Source organism: Homo sapiens, chromosome 15 (genome assembly GCF_000001405.40).
Source record: "Homo sapiens chromosome 15, GRCh38.p14 Primary Assembly".
Lineage (NCBI taxonomy): Eukaryota > Metazoa > Chordata > Mammalia > Primates > Hominidae > Homo > Homo sapiens.
The window spans coordinates 57,759,842-57,783,038 of NC_000015.10; the positions used below are offsets into that span (position 1 = coordinate 57,759,842).

At 43.2% G+C, this 23,197-nt stretch overlaps 1 long non-coding RNA gene across 1 annotated transcript in view; it reads left to right on the top strand.

Annotated features, from left to right (window-relative positions):
* The window catches only part of LOC105370834 (uncharacterized), a 50,352-nt gene extending 27,431 nt beyond the window's left edge, over nt 1–22,921 (top strand). The window contains exons 5-6 of the long non-coding RNA XR_001751554.3: nt 17,754–17,904; nt 21,735–22,921. This is a non-coding gene — a long non-coding RNA (uncharacterized LOC105370834). The remainder of the gene's footprint in view (nt 1–17,753; nt 17,905–21,734) is intronic.
* Nucleotides 22,922–23,197: the final 276 nt, after the last annotated feature.

Here is a 23,197-nt window from a genome sequence, read left to right on the forward strand (position 1 = left end):
AGCCACCAGCATTCCTTATCTTGTGACCCTTTTCTTCATCTTGAAAGCCAGGTGGCATCTACAGATGTCTCTGCTACTCTGACCCTCATGGCTTTCTCTTATACAGACCCTTGGGATTCCACTGGGCCCATTTGAATAATTCGGGATAATCTCCTGTTTTAGTCTGCTAGGGCTGGCATAATGAAATATCATGGACTAGATGGTTGAAACAACAGAAATTTCTTCTCTCACACTTCTGGAGGCTGAAAGTTGAAGGCCAAGGTACTGGCAGAGTTGGTTTATCCTGAGGCCTCTCTCCTAGGCTTGCACATGGCTGCCGTCTCACTATGTCCTCACTTGCATACACCCCTGGAGTCTCCTCCTTATAAGGACACCAGTTATATTGGATTAGGGCCCCACCCTGAAGACCTCATTTAACCTTAATTATCTCCTGAAGGGTTCTGTCTCCAAACATAGTCACCTTAGGGGTTTGGGCTTCAACATTTAAATTTTGTATGACATGGATCCATCTCAAGATCCTTAGTTTTATCACATGTGTGAAGTTCCTTTTGCTGTGTAAGAGAACATACTTGCCAGGGACTGGTGATTAGGACATGGACGTTTTCGGGAGTGCCATTACTTTGTCACATCTTCTGAGCCTCAAATTCCTAATCTGAAGAGTGAGTTATCCTCTAAAATATCAAACTCAAAAATTCTACAACTCTAATTGCAAGTTCAGAGAACATATCTAGGTGGAGAACCCCCAAGCCTTTTTTTCTCTGTGAAAAATCCAATTTTTTTTTGACATAAAGAATTAGTCATGTAGCCTGTGAGAACTCTGAACAGCAGGAGGATGAGTACCCTAATGTTTCTCCTCAGTTCTGGTACACTCTAGGGCCCCTTGATGTGTGTCTTACTGCCCATGTGGTAAGGGCTGGGGAGTGGGGAGGTAGAAACCAACCTTCTTGTTTCTGTAGGAAAGAGTGTCCTAAATACCAATTGCCTACTCGGGTCTCTTCTCCTGCCCAGCACTGAGAATGGGCCTCCTCTGGCTGCTGATTCCCCTGAGGGATGAAACGTTCACTTTTCTTGAGGCCACAGAGCAAGTAACTGAGGAGGCAAATATAGGCTCTAATGGACTTAAGGAAATACGACAACTAAATGCAAAATTGGACCTGGGATTGGATACTGGGCCAGAAAGAGATGATTAGTAGGACAATGGATGACGTTTGAGTAAGGTCTATAGCTCAGATAAGTATTGCAGACATGTTAATTTTGAAATCTTGATGATTGTACTGTGGTTATATAAGATGTTTGCATGTGGGGAATCAGAGATGAAGTGTGTTTGGGAATTTTTTGTACTATCTTTGCAACCTTTTTGGAAGTCTACTTCAAATTAAAAAGTTAAAAAACAAAAAAAAAAAGTAAAGTAACAGACTCTTGAGGGGTGCTGGTAATCATGTACGCTTCCCAAGCAGGGGAGTGAGCCCAGGCACGTGCACAGAGATAGGCCTCTGGGAGGGTCTGCAGCAGCTGGGCTGAGAACCCCATGTGCTGTGGCTGTTGTCCTGATTTTCCTGACGGGTGCTGGCTTACATCAAAATAACCCACGAGAGTGCTTTTGCTCTGATATAATTTCCATATGAGGAATGCTGTTGGGAGGACCTACCCTTGGATCTTGTGGTAGGGGTAGGCACAGGAGAACTTTGGAGCTCAACATGAAAGCTCAGATAGTCTGGGTCAAAATCAAAGTGTGTGTGGCTCAGTGGGCTAAAGGAGTGGACATTCCACTAATAACCAAATCCCCACAGGCAGATCACAAATTTACAAAGAATTCAAATACCAGGGAATACACTTAGTGCTAAACAAGTAGGCTAGGCACATTCTCAGCTTGCTTTGGTGATTCAGAGGCCCTTTAAGATTTTATAGGAAGAACATAATAGGCACCAGTGAGTACTGATGATACACAGAAGTGTTGGCTTTCACCCTTCTCTAGAAAGAACAGAATGTCTCAATTTCTTCTGATCTTGGTATTCTCTTTCATGCAGAACTAACTCATGAAGTAAAAATTTCATTTGGGACTTCTGGTATACTTAAAGACTACAATAATGATCATGAAGGCGATGATGACTAAAAAGAGTAGTAGCCATCAAACTTTATTGCTTTTCATAATTCAGAAGAATTTGAATACACTAATCTTTGTAAGTTATTAGGAGTATAGAGTGGAGGTCAAAAGGGTAAGAATGCTTCAAGCAGAATAGAGAAAGATCAAACAGACCTCTCCACACTCTGGGAAGAGGCGTTGGTTAACTTTATCTGGGAGCAATAGAAGATGAGCTGTGTCAAGTACAAACCCTTGGGACCCAGGGATGAGGTCCTGGGAAACAGGGTCGAATCGGGGTCCTGGAGTCTGGTTCGAGCAGATATGTCTCTCTTTGTCTTGGACAGGAGTGAGGAGAATATGGGGAGAGGAACAGTTTTTTCTTTCACAATGTTGGGACTCACAATATGTATCTCCCCTGCCAAATGGCTTGTTCTTTATTTGTGCTATTTGTGATATGGTTGCTCTTGAAAATTTTTCAAGCTGGGCCACAGCTCATGAGTTTGGCTCATGGGTCAGCTACCCTAGTGCTAGATGGGATGAACATCTTTGGCCCTAGTGGCTATGGTCAGGAGTGCAGGGTCGCATGCAACTACTTTAGAAAATGTAGAGTTCCCAGCTGGGCGCGTTGTCTCATGCCTGTAATCCCAGCACTCTGGGAGGCTGAGGCGGGCAGATCAGCTGAGGTTAGGAGTTTGAGACCAGCCTGGCCAACATGGTGAAATCCTATCTCTATTAAAAATAAAAAAATTAGCTGGGCATGGTGGCCCATGCCTGTAGTCTCAGCTACCTGGGAGGCTGAGGTGGGAGTATTTTTTAACCCAGGAGGCGGAGATTGTGGTGAGCTGAGGTCACGCCATTGAACTCCAGCCTGGGAGACACAGTGAGATCCTGTCTCCAAAAAAAAAAAAAAATAAAAAAAAAAAAAATAAAAATAAATAAATAAATAAAAGGATATTTCCCCACTGTGTCTGCCAATGGTTCTCTTCCGAGGAAACACACTCCTAGCTTCGTGCTTTGGAGCCATTTCTCAGGAGAATCTCTCTGGAGAATGATTTCCTCCTTGTTATTCATCACGGTCCTTTCAAACTGAATTAAATCGTCCTGCCTTTGGATTTTTGTTTGCTCAAGGAACTTAATTTTACTAAACTATTCTCTCGCATTTATGGGATACTTTTCCCTCAAGAGCAAAACTGGGGCAACTTCAGAGCACACATGTGATAAAATACCTCTCCTGGGCACTACCAGTCAGAAGACAAAGTAAGTGACATGAATGTCAATAATGAAGTTCCTATTCTCATTCCCTCACATACTTGAGTCTTCTAGTCCCCTACAAAGTCTCTCCAAATATTTCTGACTTTACCAAGAGAAACCTCTCATGTGGCCACGAACCAGCCTGTTGTATGTAGTCCCCAGGTGGCTCCTGCCATGTTCTTCCCTCCCCTGCGCCCGTCTTGGTCTGTGCAGGTGGCAACACCAGCCTCTGTGCCCAGAGTAGATTCTGCTCCCACAGACACCCCTCTCAGGGGCTTGGGTGCCTAAGTGGAGCGACAAGAGACCTCTCCTGCTGTGTGCTGTTTGTCACCTGGATCCCAAAGCAGCCCTACTGTTACTGTTTCATCCAGTTCCTCTTGACAACACCCTCTTTCCTTTTGCCCTAACTTTCTCTCTCTGGAGTCCTGAGAGATTTGGTAGGGATGGGTCCATGTGACAACTTCATTGTTCTCATCTCTCTCCTTTATCTTACTAGACCCTGCAAATAGCTGCACAGTTCTTCCTTAGCCCCAAATTGGAGGTCTCTACTCATGTCAGCTCATATACAGTCAGACCCAGGAACCCAGGCAGACCTCGGATTCCCTTTGATATGCCCTAGCACACTGTGCTGTATAACCAGTGAGCAGTTCCCTTTAATGTAGAGAAATTCTTGAGTTGAAGCTTGAGAAGCAATGAAGTAATATTTTTGACTTGGAAACCACAAATCTAGTAAAGTGAAGATTTTCTTCATTCTTGTAACTCAGTAAAAGTCTTTCTAGTTAATTGTATTTTTTATTTTATTATAAAATGTACATAAAATTTACCATCTTAACCAATTCTAAGTGTACAATTTGGCATTAAGTACATGTACACTGTTGTGCAACCATCACCACCATCCAACTCTAGAACTTTGTTTTTCCAAACTGAAACTATGTACCCATTAAACAAAAACTCTTCACTCCCTTCAGCCTCTGGCAACCACCAGCCTATTTTCTGTCTCCATGAATTTGACTGCTCTAGGTACCTCATTTAAGTGAAATCATACAGTATTTGTCCTTTTGTGACAGGCTTATTTCACTTGGCATGATGTCTTTAAGGTTCATCCACATTGTCATGTGTCAGAATTTCCTTTTAAAGGTTTACTGATGTTGTATTGTGTTTATATATCAGTTTATCCATTCATCTGTCAATGGATATTTGGTTTGCTTCTATCTTTTGGCTGTTGTGAATCACATTTTTAATTTTAAATTTTCTAGTAGCCTCATTAAAAAGTAAAACAGGTGAAATTACTTTTAAAAACGTCATTTAACCTATATCCACAGCTTTATAATTTCAACATATAATCAACATAAAGCATTTATTAGTAAGGTATTTTATTTTTCATGCAAAGTCTTTGTTATCTGGTATGTATCTTAAATTTACAGCACATCTCCATTTGGGCTAGCCACATTTCCAGTGCCCAGTAGCCACATGTGGTCATTGGCTATCTTATTAGATGGTGCAGATCGAACTCATCATAGGGGTAGAGTTTGGGGATCCTAACAAGACCCCCTTTCCATGTCCTTGGATTGTCTCTGAGAGAGCCAGTGTCTCAAATGAATCCTTGGCATGTTATAGATTGTTATCACTTCTTAGCTAATTTCTCAGACACGTGCCTGGAGTTCTGAATTTCTGTGGCTCCAGATGTTTTAACTCCATGTTCAAGCAGCCATTCCAGCTGACATTTTGAAAATGAAGGAGAATGATTTACATCCTTGCTGGGCAGAGGGACACATGCCATTACTTGCATAATCCAAGTTTGTTATGCACTCAACATACTCAGGGCACCAGATATATTTTATTTATATGTGGCCCAACATACTGATTATATTTCATATGGACCTGCATATGCATCTGAAAATAATACTGCACCACAACCTTCTGTTTATTCTTAAATCCAGTGATGACCCATTGAGCACCTCTCATGGGCCAGGCACATGCTAGGCACTGGGGGGTCTGCCCACAATGAACAACACAGTTCCTGTCCTCAAGAGGCTTGAGCTGCAGCTGGTGGTCTCTCCCTGGCTGCAACCTTGACACTGGTTGCCATGAAACGGGCATGCTCCATCCTTCTCTGCCTGGGCAAACCTCTGCAGTTCTTTTCTCCCCTCTAACCTGAAACTTGCATTCTTTTGATTGTCCACGCCAGTGGTAAAAGAAACATTTCTCTTTGGAACTTTATAGGTTATTGTGTCATGTAAATGACATGGGAATTTGGGGGCTTTTATAAATATCAAGGTGAAGACTGTCAGAAAATTACCAACAACTGAAGCCCACTAAATGATAGCCAGGGTAGCTAGGGTGAATTTTCTCCACATCCCCAACTCCCAAAATGGGGGTATGGGTTTTACTGCACAAGAGTTTTGTTGTGTTTTGTTTTTGTTTTTGTTTTTTTTGGATAATGAGGGCCCAGGTGGCTTAGTCCATGTCATGATCAGCGTGCTTCCTACAGAGAGGCTTCATAATCTATGGTGTGAAGGCGTCAGGTGAATCTGAGCCTAATTTTTTTCTGCCTATTCAAAAAACATGCAGGTGATGCCTGAAAATGCCCTTAGTCCTCTTTCCTCCTCCCTGTTCACATTCATGAGAAAATCAGATTGTCAGGAGTTAGAACACGTGGGCCCTGCCCGAGAATTAACTGATTGGTGCGTCCTTTGAATTGAGGTCTTTGAGCTATATCCACATTTCCTTAGGGAAAATTCCTTCAGATTGGTACGTTCTAATTAGTTACCTCATTGTGAATAAATGCTTCCATTCAACTGATGTCTGGAATTTTAGGTTAAAACTGTGTGGATTTGAATGGAGGCTATTCTTCACTTCAAGTTTCTGGGGACCTCAGGTAAGAGTTTAGTAGAGGCTTCAACTTCTGTGAGTCCCTGTTATATCCTCTCAGACATGGTCCTGGAGGTGTCCAGGGGAAAGTCAAGTTTATCTGTGTTGTTGTGCCCACCATCATCAGCCAACTCAGGAACCTGGCCCCTTTCTCTCTGCCCAACCATGTATCATCCCCTTGTTGCCCACACAAAATCTGTCAACTCTGGGCCCTTCTTCTACACTTTTCTTTGTTGAGCGTGTCTTCCCATCTTTCCAACACCAGCTCAAGCATCACTGTCTTCTTGAAGCCTTCCCTGAGAGACATTCTAAATAGTCCATGCTCTGTTCTTAGCGTCATCTGGTTCCTCCCATTTGACTCCTGCCTCAGCTCTTAGCAAAGTGTTGATGGTACATAACCTCAATAACCCTAAGTCTTTCTGGGCTGTGAATGTGGATAAGATTCCATGAGCATGAATGCTCACTTCCTGTTGACTCCAACCCCTACTTGTTGTGGGGGGATAAATCCACTTTCTTGCAACGTCTTGCAAATCCTCTAATCTTGCAGCTTCCTTCTCAGTGGAACACTTCATCTTACCTGCCCTCCTGAATCAGTCAAGGCTGCCACTCACTGCTGGCTTCTGTCACTCTGGGTTCTACTCTGCAGCCTGGTTTCTGCTGCCTAAGACAGGCTGGCATGGCTGCCCTCCCACCCTGCATGGGCCTCTGGGGCACCAAGCCTTGCCTGCTGAGCCGCAGAGCAGTGCTGACTTGGCCTGTCCCAAAATTTTCAGTTCTCTTGGTGCTGCTTTATGGGGCCAGCCTTCCCTGTTAGCACCAGGACATGTGTGTGCTGCCAGGGGAGCTGGCAGGGCTGGGTTCAACGTCCGCCCATACCTCATCACTGCACCATCTCTAGACCCTCAGGCTCACTTATGGAATCTGGATTGTCAGACTTGTGCCTCAGTTCTTCTGCCACAGCCTTAAAAAATTAAGGCAGAAATATGGGGAAGAGAGGTTGTTTGATTCTGTGTTGAAAAATGTAACTTTTATATCCTGAGACAAGTTATGTTCTATGAAAGTTCTCCTGTCCCCAGCCCTTTCTCTTTTAGACATGGATCTAGGACATTTCTAACATGCAGTTCTGAATCTCTACCTGAGAGGTGGTTGCTGCAAAAATAGAACACTGCCCTTGGGCACTGAGGCCCTTTTGAAGCATCTCCTCATGGTAATAAAAATACTAATGCCTGCATGGGAACTGTATATCTGTTAACTTCTTCAGTTCTCCGAAGGCATTATCTACCCCACTTCCTAGGGAAGGAGCTCAACTACACAGCTGGGGAGAGTTCTGCAGTTAGGCCAAGGCTTGGTGAATGGAGCACAGGCCCCCATTTGCTCCTGCAGCTGGGCACAAACTGTACAATCACTTGGGGGCGGGCATAGTCTGTTCTAATCAGGGGGGTCCTTGAGGCACTACAGCAATGTCTTTCTATTTCATGAGTTAAATTACAGGAGGCAGATGTTCTGCCAAATCCCTGTCAACTCCAGTGGGGAAGGCACCAGTTTCAAGAGGCCAAAGAAGAGACCCTGAGCCAAATGAGACATGGGATTTTACTGGGGGCTAAACACAGGGGGCAGTGTTCGGTGGCTGTGGGCTGGGCAGGAAAACCACAACTTCTTGTAAAAGGCATGCAGTTTGTGTAGGAAAACCACAACTTCTTGTAAAAGGCATGCAGTTTGTGTAGCATTTTCACTTAACACCCTTCACCCTAACAACCTCCACCTGGCAACCTTCATTTAACCTAAAACAAAGGGCCTTGATCCCCTGTGTGGCCTTTGCGCCATGGGATGGGACAGGCAGGGGGCTCAGGTGTTCTCATAGATAAGAAATGGATATCTGAGTTGGCCACTCCTGGATTCCTTAGCTCAGAACTCTGAACACACATTCAGGTGTATCTGCTGTACAGGGTCATTCTCAGGGTATATTCCAGTCAAGTTATCTTTGTCAGGTGCAGCTACCATACAGGAGGGACATGGGGTGGAGCCATTGTTCTGCCTGTTGAGGGCTGGCCTTCCACGGAGGCGGTACAAGCTGCTGGTTCTTTCATGTGCTTTCGAGGGATACAGGTAACTTTACCTGCGGCTTGAAATCTCCCCATGAAGCCTGGGATTTTATTAGGGACACATTGGACTTTGGGCTTCGCTCCTCTCAGGTGTGCACATCTTAAGTAGTTCTCTTCATCTTTCTCATCTTTCTGAGACCTGTTTTCTCAGCTGAAAAGGGGAAGGATTGGATAAGGTCACTGATTTTTTTTTTAATTGAGATGAATTCACGTACTATGAAATTCACCCATTTAAAGTATACAATTTATAGTTCTTTAGTATGTTTTCAAGGTTCTGCAGCTATCATTACTATCCAATTCTAATACATTTCTATCAACTCTAAAAGAAACCCTGTATCCATTACTAGTGACTCTGAATTCCCCATTCCCCCTGACCCGTGCCAACCACCAATCTACTTTCTGTGTCTATGCATTTGCCTCTTCTAGACATTTCATATAAATGGAATAATGACGTGTGGTCTATCGGGTGTGGCTTCTTCCAGATTGATTCATATTATAGCATTGATCACTGGTTTTTAATCTTTTATTTGAAAAGTAAAATGCCCTGAAAAGAAATTGTGGTTGGAACCTTGATAGGTAACTCCCTGACCACCTGAGGGCCCTCCCAGCCTGGCGGCAGCCTCAGAAACACATCTGCAGGACTCGTGGGCTTCACAGAACAGAGTTTGACTGGCTCTGAGCTCAATCATTTCTCAAGTGCCTTTAGGTTCAAAGACCTTGTTTCTCTGAGGTTTTCTTCAAAAATACAAATCACCCTGCCACACTTACTTAAACTTGAAATAGTTTCCAACACCCCTCTCTAAAACAATTTTCAGAGGGCAGAAAATTGAGCCAATGGGAGTCAGATGGGAGAAAAGCAAAAGACATTTAGTAGCTTTGACACTGCCTTGGAGAGGCCGTGGCAGAAGACAAACTCCGGATATCCTGGGCAGTGGCAGGCATCTGCAAAGAGAGGCCAGATAGAGAAAAGGTATGAAAGGCAGTGGAAGAGGCTGCTTTGTAATATTGCTGTGGCCAGGCCCCCAGTGATATTTCTGAGAAATGTTCTGTTCTTTGAGGCCAATAAGGATTGTATGGTCTGCAGCTGACTGGAGCTCTTCTTTCCCTGGGACCTGATTGCCTTTCTGGGCAAGGAAAAAAAAAAATCCACATAAATCTCTGTCCAAAGTCAATTATCTGAGATTTGGAGTAGTGCAGCCTGCTAACGGAAACTGCAGGCCATGTGTATGCGGCCTGGTATGTGGGACGGCTCGGAAGCTTTTCTGGCGCAGCCCTCCATCCTCACGGGAGCCCTCAGGCAGCTGCAGCAGCCTCGTCGGCTGTTATCCACCCGGCTTGGCCCCGAAGGGAGTGAGTGAGTTTCTTCTGAGTCACCATCCGCCATCTTGGTCCTGCTGTGAAGCCATGGCAGGGACACATCTTTTCTCCCTGCATAGTGCCTGAATCCACCACGGTGCCTGAGGAGAGCTCTCTATGGGATTTGGGAGAGCAGAGCTGACCAAGGAGATGAAGAGGTTTTAATAAGGGCTCTGCCTTCTTTTAGGGAAGTGCTAATATGCAAGTAGTGTTGTCTCTAGGAACCTCAGTTTTCTCATCTGTAAAATGATTGACTTCCCATCTTGTTCCAAAGACAGGTCTTTTGTAAATTCAAGGCGTTAGACCAGATGATCTCTATGTTCTTTTTGTTCTGCAGGTTCTAAAACTCTTCTGCAAGGTGGATGCTGACTTAGGATTTAGAGCCTTTCAAATATCCCAGCAGGTTCTCCAACATAACTGAATAGCCACCTTGTCACTTCCTTTCTCTTAACCTTATTCACCCAATAGGCCCAGACTTCTACCAGTTAAACTTAAGTCCTCTTAAAAATGCCTGCCAGATAAGGAGGCTGATCTAGATTAATGGAGAGTTAAGAGATGTGAGAACCTAATACAATGTGTGCATCTTAATTGGATCTTGGATCAAAAAAACCCCAACTACCTACAGTGGACATTTTTGGAACAATTGAAGTTTTGAAACAAAGCTCCCCCAGCCTTCCCCAGAATGCCTTCTTTACTCAGCTCATCCCTTCCAACTCCCACTGGTCCTCTGGGGCCCAGCTCATACCTTTACCCCAACAATACCCCCCAACCCCAGATGCTCTGGCTTGCACCGACTTCTCCCTCCCCTTGCCAGTGCACCTCACTTCTCCTGAACTCGCTTCATATTTGCCATTGCCTACAGCCTTCCTGTCGATGGGAATTGCTTCATCTGTACATGAATGTGAAAGTAGAAGTTAGAGGCCAAGGGACCCAGCTTCTCTGCTGTTCCCAGGCAACACGATAGTTTTGCTATTGAATTTGGGAAAGGTCTTCAAATTGAAATTTACTGTGTTTTTCTGCTAAAGGCAAAGTTTCATATTCTAGGCCTTCTGCTAATTTTTCAGAGCTGAGGGCAACATGGGTAAGATCAGTCTGGGTCCTGACAAAGCCCAGCCACCCCCAAGTTCAGAGCCCTGTGTTTATTTTACAACAATCAGAAGCACACAGGCTCCTTTGCAGACAGGTTAATATATCAGGCTAACTTGTGCAACGCCCCTGCTCAAACATGCCTCGTGCAGGGATCTTGAACACACTTTAAAAACTACCTTGGTAACAGGATATTAAGATGTACTTTCCTTGTTTCTTTAGAAATAGTCACCAAGGCCCCAGACTAGAGGCAAAGAGGCATTACTACCTCCCATCCAAAAGAAAGCCCCCGAAAACTGGCCAAACCACCCCCTAGGTCTTACAGAGAAGGGCCTGGGCCAGCCTATAACAATCAACCAGTCCCTTCTCACTAGCTTCGGGGGACACTAATTGTGGCTCACTAGCTTAGGGAGATACTGTGGTTTTTATCCCCTCCCCCTGTTCTCCTGGCCTCCAAAGTGTGAGGGGCTGCAAGAAAAAAATCACATCTAAAGATGAGCTCAGCCTGCAAGGGGAGATGGCACCATTATCCAATTGCATGCCTGCTTGGGCAACAGATCTGTTAGTGTCTAGAGACATTTTGGGTTGTCACGGCTGGGAAGGTACAATAGGTGTCCAGTGGGTGAGGGCCCAGGGATACTTCTAAACATCCGACCATGCATAGGATAGTCCCCCACAACCAAAAATTATTTGGCCCAGAATGTCAATAGTGCCACTGCTGAGAAATCCTCTTGTTAAATAGCTATTGATCAAAAGGGAAGGGATGTTGTTACTCCTGGGGACACCTTAATAACCGCATCATGTCCTCATGTCCTGGGCTGGCATACCTACTGATACTCTGTTCTGTGTTTTTTTTGTTTGCTTACGCGATCTGTTCAGGTTGTATCCCACACTTTTAGGGACTCACCTCAGGCATTATGACCCGCTAACTGTGTAATCCTACATAGGTGCTTTTGAAAGGTGCTGTCTTAAAAATAATAAAAAAAATTGCTGCACATTAGAATCATCTGAGGGAGCTTTTAAAGGTCCCAATATAAAAGCTGCATCCCATGTCAATTAAATTTGAATCTCTGGGGTGGAACCTAGGAGGCTGAAATTTTAAAAACTCCCCCAAATGATTCCAATGGTCTGCCAAGTTTGAGAATCTCTGCTCTCACTACACATGCCTTACTCTCCTGCTGTGTGTCATTACGTGAATCTTTCACCCTGTATCTAATTATTCCCAAATGTAGGGCCATGATTTTGAGCATCACACTGGCTTTTGCTCTATTGGTGGCCGTTTTCCCCTGGCCTTGTGTGGATCGCCTGGGCTCTCAGCCCTTTGACAGTAGTTCTGTGTCTCTAACAATGTGTCTCTGCCTTCACTGTTATTACCACTAGTTTACTCTTTGTTTCATCTGTTGCTCTTCCCCTTTGCATTAGACTCAAACTGCTTAATGCCCAGATCAATAATTTTGGCTGCTGTGAATGCTGGAACATTGGGAGGTTTTTTAAAATGATTTTTAAATTAGGTAATATATAATGAGAATAGAAATAATATATACATTGACAAGCATAATAATCAAACACCTGTTAGCTTGCCTATGCCACCCAAGAGCTCGATGACTGCCCACAGCCAGTGCACATAGTACCTCTTCATCCCTCCACTTTGCCACCAGAGTCAGCAATGTCTGGTGTTTTGTTTATAACTGTCTTCCCATTTGAGAAAAAAACTTTTTGGAAGTACAGATGGATTCTTGAACAACATATTTTGTTTTGCTTGTGCTTGCACTATACTACAATGGAAGCATGCTGCATGTGATCCTTCGTGGCTTTTTACTTTCTGTGGTGTTTTGTTGCTATGATTCATCCTTATGTCACCCAGGAGGCATTGATTCATTTTCAGGGCTGGATGATATTCCATTGTGTAACTATACACAATTTATTTACCCATTTACTGTCAATGGGCATTTGTGCTATTCTTGCTTTTTAATCATTGTGAACAGGGCCGCGGACATGCTCTTACACTTCTCCTGCTATATGTGAGCAAGCATTTCTCTAGACCGTGGCTTCTCAAACTTCAGTGTCTATACGGATCAGCTGGGGATCTCATTAATATGCAAATTCTGGTTCAGTTTGGGAGGAGTCCTGGAAGGGACAGCAATGCTGTGAATCCACAAGCCTCACTTTCAGTGACAAGGCTCTGGCACAGGATTGGCCAACTTTACCTGCTGATACCACATCCTTCTAAAGGGGTGGTGTCGATTTACTCCCTCACCAGCTATGTATTTTGATACACATCTTCTCAGTGACTTGCTATTGTTATCTCCCGGTCTTAGTTTGCACTTTCCTGACATTCATTAGGTTAAGCAATCTTTTATGTTTATTGGCCCTTCACATATATCCCTCTTTCTGTGAAATGTCTATTTGTATCTTCTGCATGTTTTTCTTTTGGGTTGTTGGCCTTCTTATTAATTTGTAGGGGCTCTTACCCTTCTTTTGTTCTCATTCAAATCCTTCATTTCTTATATGTGTCACAAATATTCACATCCAATTTGTTTTTTCTCTTTTACCTTAAATTTTTTTGAGACAGGATCTCATTCTGTTGCTCAGGCTGGAGTACAGTGGTGCGATCACAGTTCACTGCAGCCTCAAACTCCTGGGATCATGTGATCCTGGTGCCTTAGCCTCCAGAGTAGATAGGACTACAGGAACAAGACACCATGCCTGGCTAATTTTTTTTTTTTTTAAATAACTTTTAGTAGAGACAAAGTCCTGCTGTGTTGCCTAGGCTGGTCTTAAACTCCAGGGCTCAAGTGGTCTTCCTGCCTTTCTTTTACCTTTCTTTATGGTATCCTTTGCGTGGAAATTCTTAGTTTTAATATGGTTGAATTTATCCATCTTTTTTTATGTTTAGAGGATTTTTTGTATGTCTTCAACTTCTTAATCTAATAAAGTCTATAGATAATAGTATTGTACCAATGTTCTTAGTTTTGATAATTATACCATGGCACCACATAAGATGTTACGTTAAAAGGAAGCCAGGTGAAGAATACAAAGGAACTCTTTGTACCATTTTTGCAACCCCTCTATAAGTCTAAAATTAATATTTAAAATGTTAAAGTTAATCCCTGTCCTAAGGTTATAAAGATACCTATATTTGATCCTAAAAGTCTTGCTTTTCACATTCAAGTCCTTGGTCCATCTGAAATTGGTTATGTGTTTGGTGTAAGGTGTGGATTTAATTCTGCGTTTTACCCCATGGGTAGTCAGTTGTCCTGCCGTCGTTTACCAAGTAGTGTCTTGTTTGCCCAGTTCTCTGCATCACCGTCTTAGGCTACATCAGATCTACAGAGGAGGGTGGTTCCTTACAAACCTTCAAGCTATAAGCAACGCAAAGATGAAATTCTATGAAGCGTGCTCCTAGGAAGACATAGCACAGTGTCCCGAAACCCAGGTGTCCTTTACTCTGCGGTATTGCCTCTGGGTGCAGCAAGATCAATGGGACCTTTTGCCCATGAGTTTGCAGCTCATTTCAGGGCTTTCAGTCATGCCCTGCTTAACTTTGTGCTTTTGACTCTTAGACTTTGTCAGACCTGTCTTGCTCATGTTGTCTTTTGACCCACAGGCTGTTGAAGTTAGAAAGGAACATAGGGATGAAGTTTCCTAGCCTCTTCAATTGAGAGTTAGGAAAACTTGAGTTAACCGACGTATCCAAGGCTGGGTACTTGGTTGATGGAAGAGTTTAGATCAGACCCAATTTCTTGACTCCTAATTCTACACCCAGAATTGTTTTCTCTCCTGTGTTACTCTTTCCAAATACCAGCATCACTACCCACTCAGCCACTCAAGCTAGAAATTCAGAGACTCTCCTCGCTGTTCCCTACTTGCCACTCTGCACTTTCTATTATGGCCACATTCCGGTGATTCTGCCTCTGAAATCTTTTTCAAATGTATTCTTTCACATTCGTTCCCATGTCCACAGCCCTATTTCGTGCCCTTCTCGATGCTTGATTGGATTACAACAAGAGTCTCTTTATTGGCCATCTTGTTTCTAGTCATTTCTTTCTGTAATCCATTCACTTTCTTAACTACTCTTAAAATGTAAATTCTAAAACACAAACCTGGTCGTGGCTTCTTGCCAAGAGATGACTTAACTTTTTTTAAGTTTTGGTGTAAATGTGCAGGATGTTCAGGTCTGTTACATAGGTAAACGTGTGCCATGGTGGTTTGCTGTGCCTATCAACCCATCACCAAGGTATTAAGCCTAGCATGCATTAGCTACTTTTCCTGATGCTCTGAATCATCTGCTCCCAATCTACCTTCTGTTGTTGAACTCTTATCACCTTTCTCCTCTCCTCCAGGTACCAGGGCTATATCCACATTGAAATGTTGGATGCTCCGAAGAAATGCCACATGTGTCTGGGCCTCTGATACTTAGCACACGCTCTGTACACTTGGAACATCTTACACCATTTTCTACCTATTGGAATTGTATTTACCCTTTAAAACTCAGTAAATGCTGTCTCCTACATGAAGCCCTCCAGAATGCCCTAGGTGCAGCTAATCACTCATTGCATTTTATATCGTCTTATGAACATACGCTGTAACAATGGGACTAATGTTTCTGTATTTCTTACCAATCTGTGAGCCCCTTGAGTCTATAACCATATTTTTTTATCTTTGTACCTCAATTATCTGGCCCACAGAAGACATACTGTTATTGATTGAATCATTAAAACAAAATATCTAGAACATCTTTTTAATATTTAAAATGTTTTACTCTGACACATCCTTATTTTGGCATTGCTTATGTATTAGAATACTTGTAGCAATTTCAGAAATTCTATCTGCATAAACTTAAGTCAAATAAGAGACAAGTATTGGTTCACATGACTTGCTGTGAAAAGGGTAGTGTAAAGCTGACTTTCTGGGCAGCTGAAAACAAGGATTCAAATATGCTCAGAACTCTCTACTCCAGATTCTACCCTGCACGAGGGCTTTATTCCTTCCATGGATTTTCTTCCAGGGAAGTTTTGAATCAATATTAACAGCAACATAACAGAGATGAAAGAGCTTTACTCCTAAATCCAGTGTGAAACATTTTGGAGAACTCTTATTGGCTGCATTTGGGTCAAATGCTTGCCTCTAAACCATCTGGGAAAGTAGAGTCAGCTAAGGGAATGAACAAATATGGCTAAAATAGGGAAGAAAGCAGACACCCCTCAAAATGACAGGGATAACACTGACAGATTATGAAGTAGACAGTCCCTTCCCCCTAAGTTTATGTCCATTTAGAGGATAAGAGAGAGAAAATGACTTTCTTGTTCAGTCATAGAGTTTGGACAAGAAAAACATAGTATTTGCACACTCCGCTGGAATACTTGATGAAGTGAATGTGTCTCCCTCTAATGAAGTTATTCCATCTTTTGGGCAATGTCTTTGAGCTTGACAAGTACCAGGGACTTTAATTGAAAATTACTTTGGGAATCTTGCCAGACATTACAAATTAAAAATATGAAAACCTTTCTCCTGGGTCAGGAGTGTAACAAGCCCCATGTCAAATGTCATTACCCCACGTGCATTCTAGGACTGTGCAGGTGGGAAGCTAAGTGTTGATTGCATATTTTAGCCCAAGAATAATTTCCTGAATGGCAATTTGTTCCTTTATTTGATGAAACTGAGGTTTTCAACAGCAGTAAAAGGCAATCTTTCCAGAGTGTATTTCCGTGGGTTATGAAGATTGATTATGCTGTTTAACGAGAGATTCATTATTTGGTTATTTGGACCATGATTTATTAAAAAAAAAAAAAGGTAAAAAGCTAATGATTTCCAGTTAGGCTTGTCCCCTGAACAGTTGTATTTAGCTCAGCATTGCTTCTAATTGATAGTGCTGGGAGGGTGGGGAGGAGGGGGAAAGGGGGAGCCTGGAGACCAAGGCCTTCTTTAAGCTGAGCCATTGGCACTTTCTTGGACAGCAAAGGGGCCCCCTAATTGCTTTGGATCTCAGGACTGAACCCCCCTCCTCACTGCCCCAAGCTTGAGGGGGTTGGAATTTTGATTGTGTAGGAGAACAAGGGGTTGGGGGCAGGGAAAAGGCTTGGCCAGGGCAAAACTGACGACCAGAGAGGACACAGAGCCTAGAAAAGACCCAGGGAAAAGCAGAAGGCAGAGAGCTGTGAGGAGGAAAAGGAGAGGAAGAATCAAGGAGGAGAGTGTGCATGCCAGTGTGAAGGAGAGAGAGGGAGAGGGGGTCCTACAGCAGTGTTCAGACCTGGGCAGCAGACTGTGAGACGGTGGCAAAGACTGAGGTGAAAGAGTTATAAGTGAGCCTCAGCTCATGTGTGGGTGCGGGTGTGTGTGCAGGACCCTCAGCGGGGCTCAGGCTGCCTGTGTAGACCATGCCCAACTGCAGAGAGGGGCAGCCTCTCTCAGGCCACACACTCCTTAACAGGCCATTTCAGCCACTGCAACCTTAAGGACTCTCACTTTAGAAAAACAGACAAACCAATCAACCTGTTTGCAGCTTTGAGGATAAAAACAAAAAACAAGAAAAAAGGGCGGGGTTGGGGGGGGATGTGGGAGGAATATCCTTCAGATCAAGGAGGAAACTTGCTCTGCTTGTGTCTGTTGTCCTCCAGACACCTGCCTCTGCGGTGGCACCTGCACTGTCTGACCCCGTGGAGGGACAAAGAAGCGCCAAGAAAGGGCCTTGTTCCTGAGGTCTTCTCTGTGGGGGAAGCTCAGTGGTGAGAACCAAGGGGCAGACAGGAAATACTTTGTTTCTTGATACAAACCAGCCCTAGATACTAGAAAATTGCCAGAAAAATCCCAGAGCAAGAGCTGAGACGATGATAACCATAGTTACTAATTGTTGAGCTGGGAAGTGGCTGGGCCCTGACAGTCATGATATTAAACCTTCTAAGGACCATGCAGGGCAGGCTTTGTTATTGTTGCTTTTTTTTCTTTTCTTTTTTTTTTTTTTTTTTTTTAAATGGTGCTGTCTGCTGTCTTCTACCTTGGAGGAAACCGAGGCTCCAGAGAGCTGGGTATCTTTCCAAGGCCTTGACACTGGGAGGTGATGAGTCACGGTTGGCTCTAAAGCCCAAGCTCTTTTCTTCACACCTTGATGCCGTCTAGCCTGTCCATGGACCAATTAGAGCCAGTGACCAACAGGTGAGTGCGCATTTGGACACATCTGTACTGGACTTGAGAACCATTCACATCCATCAGTTGGTTTCACTTTAAGGCCACACGTGAGGCAGAACAGGCCTCCCAGAGCAAATGAAGCGGAGGCGCTTCAGGTAGCAGGAACATGGAAATGCCTTCTAAATGGGGTCTCTGGAGTTTGGAAATCCAGCTTTGCTGGCCACCCTGTCTCAGGAGAGGGTGCCTCTGACCCTGCCTCAGATCAAAGCACCAGGGTGCCACTGAAGGAGGGATGGCTTTCTTGCCAGGCTGTAGGGGAGCAAATAACTCCATCCTTGTGATCAGGGATGGGGGAGCAATGGCACATGCAATGGAGCCCTGCCAAGGACAACCCCCGATTTGAACTACAAAGCAATCCAAACTAGGAGAAGCACAGTCACTGGGGACAGAACATCCTTTATTGTTGCTTTGAGATGGTCCCAACCCAGTTTCTACAAAGTCATGCCTTCAATTCTTTCAGCATTCTTAGATTTTCTTATCATGTCTCAGGGAAAATCCTAGCCTCTCAGCACCCAGGGATCTCATTTTTAAAGATATAATTAGGAAGTCCAGTCAAATCGTTCATTAAAAAATTCCATTTTCTGAAAGTATTGCTCTGTAGTAACAAATTTTATAAGTTGCTGTTTTGCCACGTCTCTCTTAAGATTTGTATGAAATAAGTTCTTTTTAAGTCCATACGGGATGGGGAGATGGTTTTTTCACACTTTCTACATGTTATAGTTTACTGTGGAGGAAAGGAAGATTTGATGAGCGTTGCTTTGGAACTGAGAAACTGAGAGCTGCCTTTTATGGTGCATTTTCAAGTAGCAAAGGCAATACTTGGCCTGGAGGACCAAGAAGAGCTGGGCAGTGGTAGTGAGACTTTGCTGCACATTCAGAGTCTGCTTGGGTTTCATACATGGAACTATAAATGAGAAACTCAAATTTCAAAATATAATCAGGGGATGGTATCAGCAAGATGGTAGAATACCATCACTCTCCCACCCCCAACAAAAGTACAACTAGAAACTATTCAAAAACCAGAATACCACCCTAAATTCACCAGAACTTGGGAGGAAGCAGAGAAACCCCCTCAGCCCACAGAATCGAGAGAAGCCTAGACTGATAGCTAGAAGAGAGGGTCTTAAAAGTTACCACCATAAAGAGATGATCAAGGTTTGAGGTGATGGATACACTACCCTGATTTGAATCATTATACGATGTCCACATGTATTGAAATTTCATACTGTAACCCCAAAACAAACAAAATTATTGTGTCAATTATAAAACAAAAGTTAAAAATTCAAAAATAAAGGAGATAATTAGGGCAAGAGACAGAGGAAAGATGATGTGAAGACACTAGAAGACAGCTATCTATAAACCAAGGAGAGAGGCCCTCAGAAGAACACAACCAGCCATCACCGTGGTCTTGGACTTCCAGCCTCCAGAACAGTAAGAAAATAAATTTCAGTTGTATAAGCCACAAACAACACACACAAACAATATCTCCCCCAACCCCGCCCAAGCACACATAATCAGAAAAAGAGACACAGGAGAGAATGCATTGGCCATGGACACACCCAGGATGGGTGTGTCTCTGTTCTTTGTGATTTTTTTTTTTTTTTTTTTTTTTTTTTTTTTTTTTTTTTTTTTTTTTTAGTGGGGTGATTATTAACTGCTAAGGTCTAAGACTGTGCCCTTTTTGGTCTATTGCTGTATTCCCGAGCTGCAGCACTGGGCTTTTCTTATGCGGTTGGACAACCTATGCCCTGCACAGAACTGCCTGGATATTGGGGGTGAGAGTGCTGAAATGCAGCCTGTTCCCAGTTTGCCAAGCCAAGAGGCCTGGGCCTGCCTTCTCCTTCCTAACTCACACAGTCTGGCTTACTGGAAGCTCTGCCTAACACAGCACAATGTCTGGCATATCAATTATTTTTTTAAAAAATTAACTGGCTGGACCGGGCATAGTGGCTCATGCCTGTAATCCCAGCACTTTGGGAGGCCAAGGTGGGTGGATCATCTGAGGTCAGGAGTTCAAGACCAGCCTGGCCAACATGACGAAACCCCATCTCTACTAAAAATACAAAAATTAGCCAGGTGTGGTGGCACATGCCTGCAGTCCCAGCTACTTGGGAGGCTGACGCACGAGAATCACTTAAACCCGAGAGGCGGAGGTTGCAGTGAGCCGAGACCACGCCATTGCACTCTAGCCTGGGCAACAAGAACAAAACTGTCTCAAAAAACAAACAAACAAACAAACAAACAAAATGGTAACCGGCTGATCTTGTGCAAGCCATAAAAATTTCTTTATCCATGAATTTATAGTATTATAAATGCTTAATTTATAGGACAACTGGGAAGTTGGGATTAAAAACAGAATATACTTTGCAAAGTCATGTATGACTATAAGATATTCTTTTAGTGTTGCAAAAGCCATAGAGCTTCTATCTTATCAGTAACTCCCAAGTCAATTATCCATACAATAGTCAAATTTGTAGCTCCATTTTTATATGCCCCAATTTTTAGTTCACAAGGAAAAAAAGTACCAATCCCAATGTACCTTTCATTCTCATTAACCTAACCCATAGAACATTGGTTATTATTTTCTTTCTGAAGTGGAAATCTTAACAATACCCTCTCTGAAATAATTGCTGTTTTGCAATATTAGAAATATTTCAACAGTGACAGCTTGGAAATGTTTTAACTTTTAAATACTTAAACCAAATAATAAATAAACCCTTGTGATTAATGTTTCCAGAAGGGACGAGTAACATTATCCTTACAGCTGTTCATGATATAATATCAAAATGAAAAACATGCACGAGAAAAACAGCAAGCCCATGCTGACTTCATGTCACTTTTTTTGCAAATAGCTCTAATGCGAAGACATCCTTAGTAAGACTCAACCAATGATATTTCATCTGATCATCATTTAGCCAAACCACAACAATACTCCTGAGGCCTCTTCAGTTTCACTGACAGCATCTGTCATTTCAGTTACTGCAAATGTGATCTCTTGCAATGATGCTAGCTGGGTCACTCTGTGGCCCGAAAGGAAAATGAATCTCTTTTTAATAAAAATTTTAATGTTTTATTTTTGAGGGAGGACATAATAGTAGCTTAGAAAGAGAGGTTTTTGATGGGTTTGTTTAGAAGGCTTAGAAAATAAAACCAAAACATGAATGTGCAAAAATGCATATGTTACTGATTTAACTATGTACCTGAGCTTCTAAATTGTTAGAATTCCTGTTTACATCAAAGGTAGTTTTAAAGAACAGAAGGCAGAACTATAACTTAAAAAATCCCTAATCTTAGTAGTCAATAATTTATTAGCAGAATTCTCCAGCAACTTATAATTTTATGAGCATAATAATAACTACCATATGTGGCAGGCTTGCTCTGTGCCAGAGGGTCTGTGCCACAGGGTGTGTTAGGTGGCCTTAAATGCCTTATCTGCATTAACTTTGTGACAGTCCCCTGAGGTACGTACTATTTCTCTCATTTGGAACCTGGCACAGATTGGTTGCTGAGCAGGACTCCAGCACAGGGTTGCCTGACCCAAAATGTTGCGCTTGCCCACCCTGGAAGTTTAGATGCCAAGTTATGACTGTCAAACGAATTGGTGAGGAGACAGTATTGGCAGAATTGGTGAGGTTCTGCAACTGTCAAGAGTTTCAGGTTGTGAATATGAATTCCACTTCTTAGCTCCCTCTGCCCCGTGGCTTTTTTTTTTTTTTTGAAATGGGTCCTTGTGATGGGGTGGGGTGGGGATGGGAGTGCCCTCCTGAAGACCTGGCAGTTGTGTCTCATCTTTCCAGGTATATCAAAATGACATCCCTCCTGGATGGCACATCCTCCCCAGACAGCCTGCCCATTCCCTGGCTCTGACAGGCTAGCAAATCCCTGATAACCTCGGAATGCCTCAAGTTGTGTCAATGAAGGGCATTGAGACTTTGATGTTGGACAGATGCCCCATGATGGATGGGCACTGGCTGATACAGTTTCCCACGGTGACTCAGAAGTGCGAAGGAGAAAGGAGGGCTGAGGTGCCAGCTCCAGGCAGGCCAGGCACCCCAGATGTCAGCACCTGCCCGACTGCCTCTGACATACCCTCAGACATACCTTTTGGCATGTGGAGCCCCAGGTGCCTTTCTTCATGTCCAGATAGGAAGACTCATCTTAAGGGGTGTGGCAGCAACTGAGCATGTGTACCACCACCTGAGCTGTAGTTCTTGTTTCTGTAAGAGAAAATGCTCCCACATTATCCTACTACACTCTAGACCTCAAAGGTGAGGCAGAGCGTGAGTCAAGGGATCTGAAATGAAAGCAGTTGTAGTGAAAAGCCCATGAAATATAGCGCTCAAGGGTAGCTGAGTCTTGCAGGCTGTAATTTATGCTGTTTCCTGCTTTGAGAATGTATCCCAACCTTTTGGTTACTAGAAAGCCTCAATTTGAATAGTAAAAGACCTGAATTCTGGGTCCTCTAACTTCTCTTCATGTGTGGCTCAGTCTAACCTGTAGTTTAAGACTCAGACACCATGCCTTCCAGGAAGCCTTCCTTGATGTCTCCAATTCTACATTAATTCCTCCAGTATGAGCTTCCACAGTAACTTAATCTTACCCTGAGGTGTCTATATCAAACTGCTTCCTCACTTGAGGGAAGGCACCAGGTCTTGTTTACATTTTTGCTCTATATCACTACAACACAAGAGAGAATGTGATAAAGGTTGTAACAGACCCAGAAAAACCACTCTAGGAGCTCTGAGAAGGGTAGTTCATGTAAATACACACACATATACATATAGTTCATGTAAATATATGTATGTATACACACACACACACACACACACACAGCCTTCATCAAGGAAGAGATTGCTCTTAGGATGTTTTCAGATTCAAGATGCTGTAAAATTTGTATTGATGATTGCTTTTCTTTCTATCCCTTGTAATTTCTACACTTACAGCTCATTGTTCTTCTCATAGCATTAAAGTCTTCAGCATCTGGCATGAGTGGCTTGTTTTTTTTGTTGTTGTCGTTGTTAAAAAAAAAAAAAAGTACGTTAGACTATATTGAGCAGATCCATTGAATAACCACATTCAGCATACCTAACAGTCATAGGATGTGACTTCATTTGAGGCACAGCGATATCATTTGCTTGGATCCTTTCCATGGTCTTGTTGGGTCGAATGGCTTTGGTTAATTGCTGTTACGAACAAGCTGGGGTTCAGGCAGGTTTAGGTCACCAGGCAGGGCTCAGCCCATAAACCAGAACATGGATCT